An 8,405-nucleotide genomic window follows, 5' to 3' on the forward strand; every position below is an offset into this window, starting at 1 on the left:
CTCGTGGGCTCCAGCAATCCTCCTGCCTCAGCCTCCTGACTAGGTGGGACTATAGGCACACGCCACCATGCCTGGCTAATTTCTTTGACTTTTCTCTAGAGACCGGGTCCACCTAGGTTTCCCAGGCTGGTCTCAGACTTCTAGACTCAAGTGAACCTCAACCTCCCACCTCGACCTCTCAAATTGCTGGGATTACAGGTGTGAGCCACCACACCCGGCCTAAATTTCTTATGTGCCATGGGACTGCAAAACATCATTATTAGGGGCAGCTGGATGGAAGGTGTAGGAGGACACTATAGTGCCTTTTCAATACTTCTGTCTAAAATCTAAAATCATTTCAACAGGAAACATTTATTTCAAAACGTGAAGGTGGTCATCCTGCCATGAGTTTAAAGTACAAAGGCAGGCTCACGGTGTCGTCAGAATTCAGAACGATGGTCGTGGGGCTGGGGGTGCTGGGAGGGGCCGGGCATGGTTGGCTTTGTGATCTGGGGTCTGGTGTGTTCCATCTCTGAATCTCTCTCGAGCTGCACTCTTTCTTAATACATTTTCATAAGTTTAACCAAAAATAAAACGAGGATGCGAAGCTTGCTTGGGTTGTTAAGCCTCGGGAAATTATCCAGCCATGAGCCGTGGCCCAGATGCTTCTAGAAGCCTGGAGGGAACTGAGAACTTTCCAAGTGGAGGCCGCAGAGGCAAGGCCCTGAGGTGGGAGCACACTGCTGTTCGTCCCTAGCTCTGAAGGGGGTGCCCTGGTCGGAATCAGTGCTGGGTGCACTGCAGGGCCGGGAAGTCCATGCCCACGTTGTGGCTCAGTGCAGCGAAAGCCGATCTCACCCGCTCCGCAGGGTGTTCAGCCTGCCAGCAGGGGGCCAGCTGGTCCTCCTGGGATATGGCACGGACCCAGCAGCTCTGTCTGAAATCATAATGGCGGAACCAAGGGCCCTCTACGTCCAGGTCGGTTGGGAGGCGGGGCATGGAGTTCCACTGCAGGAATCTCCAGGAACCCTGAGGTCCTCCCTGAGCCAGGGCCGGGCTGGGCACACCCTGAGTGCCCACAGGGTAGGTGTCTTCCCGGACAGCCCCACCAGGACAGGGTGTGGAAGAACGAGGTGCCCGTGGCGGGGAAGCTGACCAAATGGGCCGCGGGAACCGGGCTGGTGGGCCTGGAGGGGCCTGTCTGTCCCCCTTGCAGAGGGTCTTCCCGCCACGTGAAGCCGGCACAGGCCTGGATGCCGACGACCCTTGCTCGGGTTTGGCTGAAAGGAAAACAGACGCGGTCAGCATCTCCAGTGAGCCCACGCAGGCCTTTCCGGGCTGGGCCCCACCTGCCTGCGTCTCTGGAGTCCTCGGGGTCTCTGTGTGGCCCCCGTGGCCTGACACCGAGGACACGCCTGTAGTCTGCTGATCCCAGAGGGAGGGGTGCATGCTGCCTGGCGTGGGGAAGCTGTCGTGGCATGGCGGGTGGCTCCTGGGACTGCCCCCAGGGTTCAGACTGGCTGGGGGCTTCCTGCCACACACCTTCGTCCCAGGGCTGTTGGGCCTGGGATACGGCCCCCAGTCAGAACTCAGGTGGGAGGGGCCTTGGATGTCACCCAGCCCCTTGTCACCTCACGTGGGGACCCGTCTCCGCAGTGGGTGATTGGGCCCGGACGTGGGTCACCCTCTGCCCTCCTGGGCTGCCCAGTCCATGCCAGGACTGACCGTTCCCACTTCTGGCTGAACTCTTGGCTCTGGCTCTGGGCCCGGGGTCCCGCCTGTGCCCTCTCCCTGAATGCTCTGTGGGTCAGGGACACGGATTCCCTTGTCTCCCTGGCTCCAGGCTTCTTGTCCTGGCAACCTTGGAGGAGCGTGCAGGAGTGAGGGGCCTCTGCTGCTCTCTGCGGCTGTGGGTGCTTGCAGGGAGGGGCGGGGTCTCCCACAAATGGGTCTGGGCTCGTCTAGTAACTTGGAGGGCCCTGCGAGGGGGAGAGGGAGACACTGTGGAAAGTGGGAGGGGGCTTGTTGGAGGGTCTTGCCCACATCCCCCTCCTGCGTGCACAGCATGTCCAGTATACACGCACTGAGCGCCTGCCCTGAGGACCGGTGGGCCTCCTGTACTTTCTTAGAGTCCAGGAGGAAGAGGAGGAAGAAAAGGTGAAGAGGAAGGCCCAGGTAGTAGGGTTGCGGGTCCCGGGCACTCCCCTACTACTGACTACCCCAGAGGGTGACATGGGAGGGGACATGGCACTGGAGCCCACCTGGGGGTGGCAGGTCCCCCTGCTTTCTTGTTAGTTTCTTCATAGAGGCCCTAAGATGCTTGAGCACAGTGTCCTCATCCCTGGCCCAGGTATCAAGGAACCGGTTCCAAAAACTTGCCCACAGGCCACACCTGGACGTCTTCGTGAGGCGCTCTAGGGACAGGGTGGATATCAGGCCAGGGGAGTTACCTGGGAATGGTCACAGCTCATACCCCGTGGCCACTTCAGCCTCCTACTGGGCGGTGCCGGATCCTTTTTTGGCCACCGCAGGCGTCCAGATATACACAGGAGACTGTGGCTGGGGGGCGATCCGGACAGGGAAGTGCTCACCACACTCTCGACTTTCATCTGGGTCATGTGAGGGATGGGCTCGGTGTCACAGTGTCCTGCCCAGCCCACCTGGCCGGACCTCCCTCTGGGCCAGAACAGCGGATCATGAGGACAGTGTGAGGAAGCTGCCCTCGGGCCAGTCGGGGTCTGACCCCAGGGCTCCCCAGGCCCCGCTGGGCACACGTAGACTTACTCTGCTGAACCTTAAAGGCGATTCTTGTTATCGGCATCAACGCCTGTTCGCCTTCTACCAGATACACGTCCCACAGGCGCAGGGTGAGCCCGAGAGAGATCTGTGGGGACAGCAGGTGTGAAAGAACCTGGTCCTTCCAGGCTGGGGCTGGTGGCTCGAGCTGCGCACACTGGGGCTTCAGTCTCCAGAGTCAGTGACCTTCCCCATGAGGGTCGCCTGAGCCCTCCAGGACGCTGGGTCAGACAAGGTCTTGAAGCTCCTCATGGGGGGCACTCATTTGAGTGGGGATGTGGCTCCTGGAGCGAGGGGCTTGCCCAGGGCTTGAGGCTTCCCTGAGCCCTCTCAAGTCGGGTCCTGGCCCAGTCTGCCCATGAGGCTGGGCCTGAGCCCCAGCCATTGCCCTGGGATGACCCCTCTTGGGCAGAGGGTTTTGCTTGTGTGTCCTTTGGGGACCCGCCTGAGCCTCCTGTGGGCTGGGAGTGAGCCAGACCCCCGGGCTGGGGAAGCAGGGCACTGCAGGGCAAGGAAGGTCCCTGAGCCAGGGTCTCCCTATGCCTCCTTACCCCGTCAATCAATATCCGGATGAGGCAGCCTAACGGGGAACACTGCCCACATAGATCTTTCTTGTCCTGATGGAAGCAACAGAGGTGCTCAGGCCACTGGGCTGCCCTAAAAACCTCCCTCTTCTCGGGTCTCTGAAGACCCTTCCCCTAGTGCAGAACACTGGGCGGTGTCCAGAGCTCCCCACAACACTGTCACCTTCCCACACTCCCGGTGGACACACTGCCCTTTGCCCTGCTTTGCGGGAGCTGGGCCCCCATCCCTGTGCCTCTGTCTCCTCCAGGGCAGGAAAGGAAACCAACTGCTAGCCCATGGAGAACCCGACGTCCCAGGTCAGGCCCTGGCTGGGACTCAGCCAGTCACCAGCCCCACGAGGGGCTCCAGCCCCGCTGCTCCTACAGCCCCACGGGAGGCAGGGCCTCTGGGAAGAGCTGAGGGGACCATGAACTCACCTGATGCCCCATGGTCTTGGGTTGTGACGTGGCTACCTCATGCTCCTGTTGGTCTTGGAGCCCCTGGATGGTCCCGCCATTTGGGCTGTGAAATCCTGAGAAGCCCCCAGCCCATCATGAAATCAGAGCCTTCCCCCAAGATGTGGAGCCATCAGCTGCAAGAGCTGGGCAGCTGGAGAGGCCCCCAAACCCCAAGGCCTCCCACCCTCCCCTCTGGTGACCCCAACATGCGGCCTTTACCCTGGGGAGGTGGGGCGGGAACATTCCCTGGAGCCTGGCTGGAGGTTCCCCTGGAGGCCTCCTGGGCCAGGGTGCAAAAAGGGCAAGCCTGACTTTCAGGCCACGACAGGGTGGCCGGAACTGGGTGGGCGCTGGGCTTCCCGGTCATCTCCTGGTAGTGGGGTCGGGCCAGGGAACAGGGGATGGGGAGATGCTGCCACCTGGGCTTGGTCGGCCCATTCGTGGGCACCGATGGCAGCAGGAGCCCGGGCAGCTGGAGGGCAGGAGGACTCTCAGGGAGGGGAGAGTCAGCTGCACAGAATCAGAGCCAGAGGGCGTGGCTCCAGGACACAGAGGGTGGCCACGGGGAGGATGAGATGCCCTCTGCTGATGGGGATGAGAGGCGTCTGATTTGGGCTTTGGGGGTCAGCCGTGGACTCCTGTGGGACCCTCAGCAGAGACATCCTAAAGTCTCCCAACAAGCTGGCGACACAAGGAGGGTGCCTTGGCTGAAAGCTGTGATCACCTGGTCAGGGTGGCCATCCCCAGGTCTGGCTGCAGGAGGTCCCCGGGGCAGCTGTTCACTTACCCTGCAGGGAGTGCCTCTCACTGGCCAGCAGCTGCACCAGTGCCCAGAATGCATCCTCCTCAGGAAGATAAAGGAGGAACAAGGCGGCGATGTGGCTCAGGTCCCTGCAGTAGCCCACCTCCTGCAAGAGCCAGAGTCACCATGGAAGGACATCACCTGGGAGGGCTGAGGTCACCTGGGAGGACTCATGTCATTGGAGAGAGCAGAGGTGACTGGAGAGGCTTCCTCTGAAGAAGAGGCTTCCTCTGAAAAAGAGGCTTCCTCAGGATGCACATTCATTTCATGACAAGAGCCAAGTCCATCAGGCACTTCAGCACCTTGTCCAAAATGTCTGCTGATAGCACCATCCTGTGTGCGATGCTGCCAAGCTCATGGGCTTTGGGGCAGCCCCAGGAGGAGGGCGTCATTTCTTGTTCTGAGAAGTGGTGGTCAGGCCCAGGTGACACCAGGAGTCCGGGCCCTGACTCCTTTGTGTCTCAGCTTGACCCCTTGAGACCACCCCCTTGCTTGAAGGTTTATGCCATCGGTGAGCTGGAATCCTACCTCCTATATCCTGGTGGGTCACAAATACTAACTTTAAAAGAAGCAACGACACCCCCACCAGACACCCACTCCTGTCAATATGGAAATATGGCCCGGGAACCTCACTGCCGGGAATACTCACCAGGTTATTCTCCGAATATGCCAGGAGGATGTAGAATAGTTCCCGCTGCCTAGGAAACAGAGAAAGGGGGCTTTGGTTTGTTTTGTGCAGATGTTGTTAATTTCACTTTGTCTACAAATCCTAACAGCAAATCCCATTTCAGGTTCAGATGATTCACCAGATAAGCAGTGAGCTCTTCAGGGCCTGAGACTGTTGAAGAAAAGTTTCAGTAAAATCCACATCTGTGACATGCAAATAGTCCTGTTGTACAGTGACTTGCCTGATCCTTTTCACTCTGAATGATTTTTTTTTTTTCAGTTTGCACACACGCCAGTTCAGTCTGTGGGTGTACAGTTCCTCCACGGTTCCAAACCAATGTGCAGAGTCTCCCGGCCACCGCTCCAGCCCCTCCTGGGGCGACTCCTTCATCCTCCAAGTCTCCAGGGTGGCCCCTATGCACCCAGCCTCTCCCCGATCCGTCAGCCCCTGGCCACCCAGACTGCTTCTCAGTCCCTGTGGTTTGGCCTTTTCCAGAATGGCCTAGGAATGGGAATCCTACGGTGGTAGCTTATTGGGTCTGGCTTCTGTCCCTCAGCAAAATGCATCTAGGATCCACCCACATTCGTGCGGGCATCACTGGCTCGTTCCCTTTTCTCACTGGGTCTTCTGTTTGAAGGGAGGACCAGCCTTGCTCTCCCCATCCCCGTGTTGAAGGCCGTCCCCGAAGGCTCCGTGTGTGAGTGACGAGGAATCAAGCAGTGAACCTGGCATGCAGGTTTCATGTGGATGTCAGTTTCCAAATCAGTGGGTTCAATATCTGTGACACTTTGGGGATGTGTGGTTCAAGTCCATTGAGCTTTGTGAGCCACTCCCAACTGGCTGCCAACGTGGCTGTGCCATGTCATGTTCCCAGCAGACCTGGATGAGAGTTTCCAGGACCCCTAATTCTCCCAGCATTTGGTGCTGTCATTATTGCCTGGGGGAGCTCATGGGCCCTCTATCCTGCCACCCTCCCGTGGGTCCTACCATGGGTCCCCATGGGTCAGGGAGAGCACCCTTCACCATTGTGCATGATTTTGTTTGCTGCCTTCCATCTCCTCAGGATCCTCCTGGGTTCTGGCCCCACATGTTCCAGTCTGGCCCAGGGCTTGGAACCAGGGAGGTGCTCGGTTCATGGTGCCGGCTGCTCCCTGGGTCGGGACAGTTCTTGGCACCTGTGTCATCCCTCCTGGGTGACCCTGGCTTCTACTCCAGGGAAGCCCCCATCCCTCTCATTCACCCCATCTCTGCTGGGACCCTGTGGCTCCCGTAGGCTTACTTGGTTCCGTATCGATCCCTGAAGAATATATGCTTCCTTAATGTCCCGCTTACGTCCAGGTCGATGTGGTGGATGTGTTCAGATGACCTCTTGCCCTTCTCCTTCATGATCTGTAGGGCAGGGCCAAGAGGAGGAAGCAGCCTCAGAACAGATGGAAGGCTCCCTGCCCCCAGTGGCAGTCAGCCCACAGTCAGCACTTTGGGAAGGAAGGACAGAAGGAAGGTTTCTTTGTGCAGAAAGCTGCTTTTTGGCTTGTTACTGAAGCCGGGGAGGGTCACCAGAGCCCAGTTTGTCTGTGGTGACTGTGTCACCATCTGTGCCCAGGGTGTTCATCTGACCTTTGCCCCCACCCCCTCCAGGGTGTGCTTGACGTTCCCTCCAGCTGGAGACCTGGGCCCCTGACACGGCCTGTCCTGTTTGTTATGCTCTGGCTGAGCGTACCTTGTATTTTCTGGGGTTTTTCGACTTGATTTCCTGAATGTTCAGGAGGACTGACCACACCAGGCCCCGGATGTTCATGGGAATGCCCTTGTACACTAGATCTATCAGCTGTGTGCAAAAAACAATCTGGTATCACAGGCCACCGGGTGACCCCAGTGAAGACCAGAGCCCAAGGATTCTGGAAATTGTCGGTTTTGGCCCCATGATTCCTCGGTAGAGGTGAGATCAAGCTGGGACAGGGCCTCTCTTCCCAGGACTGAGAGTGGATGGACACTCAGAGTCAAAACTCTGATCTGAACCTTTTCCTTCCTTCAGGTCACCAGGGCATCCCTAGCCTTGAGCTCCGGGTAGTCCCAGCCCTAGATTCAGATTCCCTCCCAGCAAGGTGACGCTTGCACGAATAGGCAGGAAATCTGGCGACCAGGCCTGCAGTCCTCTGGGCGAGGACAGTGTGCCACCCACCCTCTGAGAGGCTGACGGTGCCAGGCCACAGCCATGGGTGCCTGTCCCCTGTCTCTGCAGAGAGTGCTTCCAGGGGCCTCTCCCTCCACACATTACTTTGGTACTGTTCTTATATGTCTCCCATTCTCCCAGCATTTCCATCCACTTGCTCGTTCGTCTCATCTCCCACCACATTTGCTGTCAAATGAGGTATGTTGGAGTTAGTGGAGCTGCCAGGCTTTCCAGAGCCACCCGTGGATGCTGGGTCTTGGGCTCTGGACCCCTGGTGGGAGCCAGCTGGAAGGAGCCAGGGAAGGGCAGACCTCAATGGCTGAGAGCCTTTGAGCAAATGAGCACCAGTGGGCTGGCTTTGGGACCTGGGGACATGCCATCCTCAGGCCACAAACACACCAGTCTTAGGTCCCAGCCTCTAGGTGGGGTCCTGACACAAGCGGGCAGCCACTCCCAAGCCAGGACTGTGGTTCTCACTTTGGAATTTTATCAAACTGCCAAAGTCACAGCAACCTGGGGTCAGGTCCAGCAGGGACTGCTGCCCCTCCCAGTGACAGCGTGTTGCCCTCACCCACCACCGCCCAGGCCAGCTGCCTCCTCTGCCTCACCGACCACCTGCCCAGTCCCTACATCCCTGGACCAGCCCCTCCATGCATCAGGTTCTTACCTTCACCTCCCACGCAGTCAGAGGAGGCAGCTCCGTCTCACTGTAAGACAACCCAGGCAAAGCTGAGGACCTGCACAGGGCCTGGAGCCATCCCAGACTGGGAGCCAATCCCCAGAAAGGACTGGCTCTGTCCCTATCCAGCTCAGGGCTCAACCCAGGAGAAGGCACAGGGAAGGGAGGACAAGGGCCTTCCTGTGGGGCTGACTCCCAGAAGGGGCAGGACCTGGGAGAAGAAGGAGTGTAGGGACAGCCTGGCTGGGGTTACTGGGGCCCCTGGCGTGGGGGGCGGTCAGGCTGCC

At 58.8% G+C, this 8,405-nt stretch overlaps 1 pseudogene, besides 1 other annotated feature; it reads right to left on the reverse strand.

Moving 5' to 3' along the window:
• TBC1D3JP (TBC1 domain family member 3J, pseudogene) lies at positions 333–8,151 on the reverse strand (annotated as a pseudogene).
• Positions 2,696–3,355: an enhancer, noted in NCBI's record as "H3K4me1 hESC enhancer chr17:34495357-34496016 (GRCh37/hg19 assembly coordinates)". NCBI's record gives its function as "activates a minimal SCP1, AML or CMV promoter by ChIP-STARR-seq in naive H9 embryonic stem cells {active_cell/tissue: H9 hESC(naive)}" and the evidence as "EXISTENCE:reporter gene assay evidence [ECO:0000049][PMID:30033119]".

The sequence above is a fragment of the Homo sapiens genome, chromosome 17, assembly GCF_000001405.40.
Source record: "Homo sapiens chromosome 17, GRCh38.p14 Primary Assembly".
Classification (NCBI taxonomy): domain Eukaryota; kingdom Metazoa; phylum Chordata; class Mammalia; order Primates; family Hominidae; genus Homo; species Homo sapiens.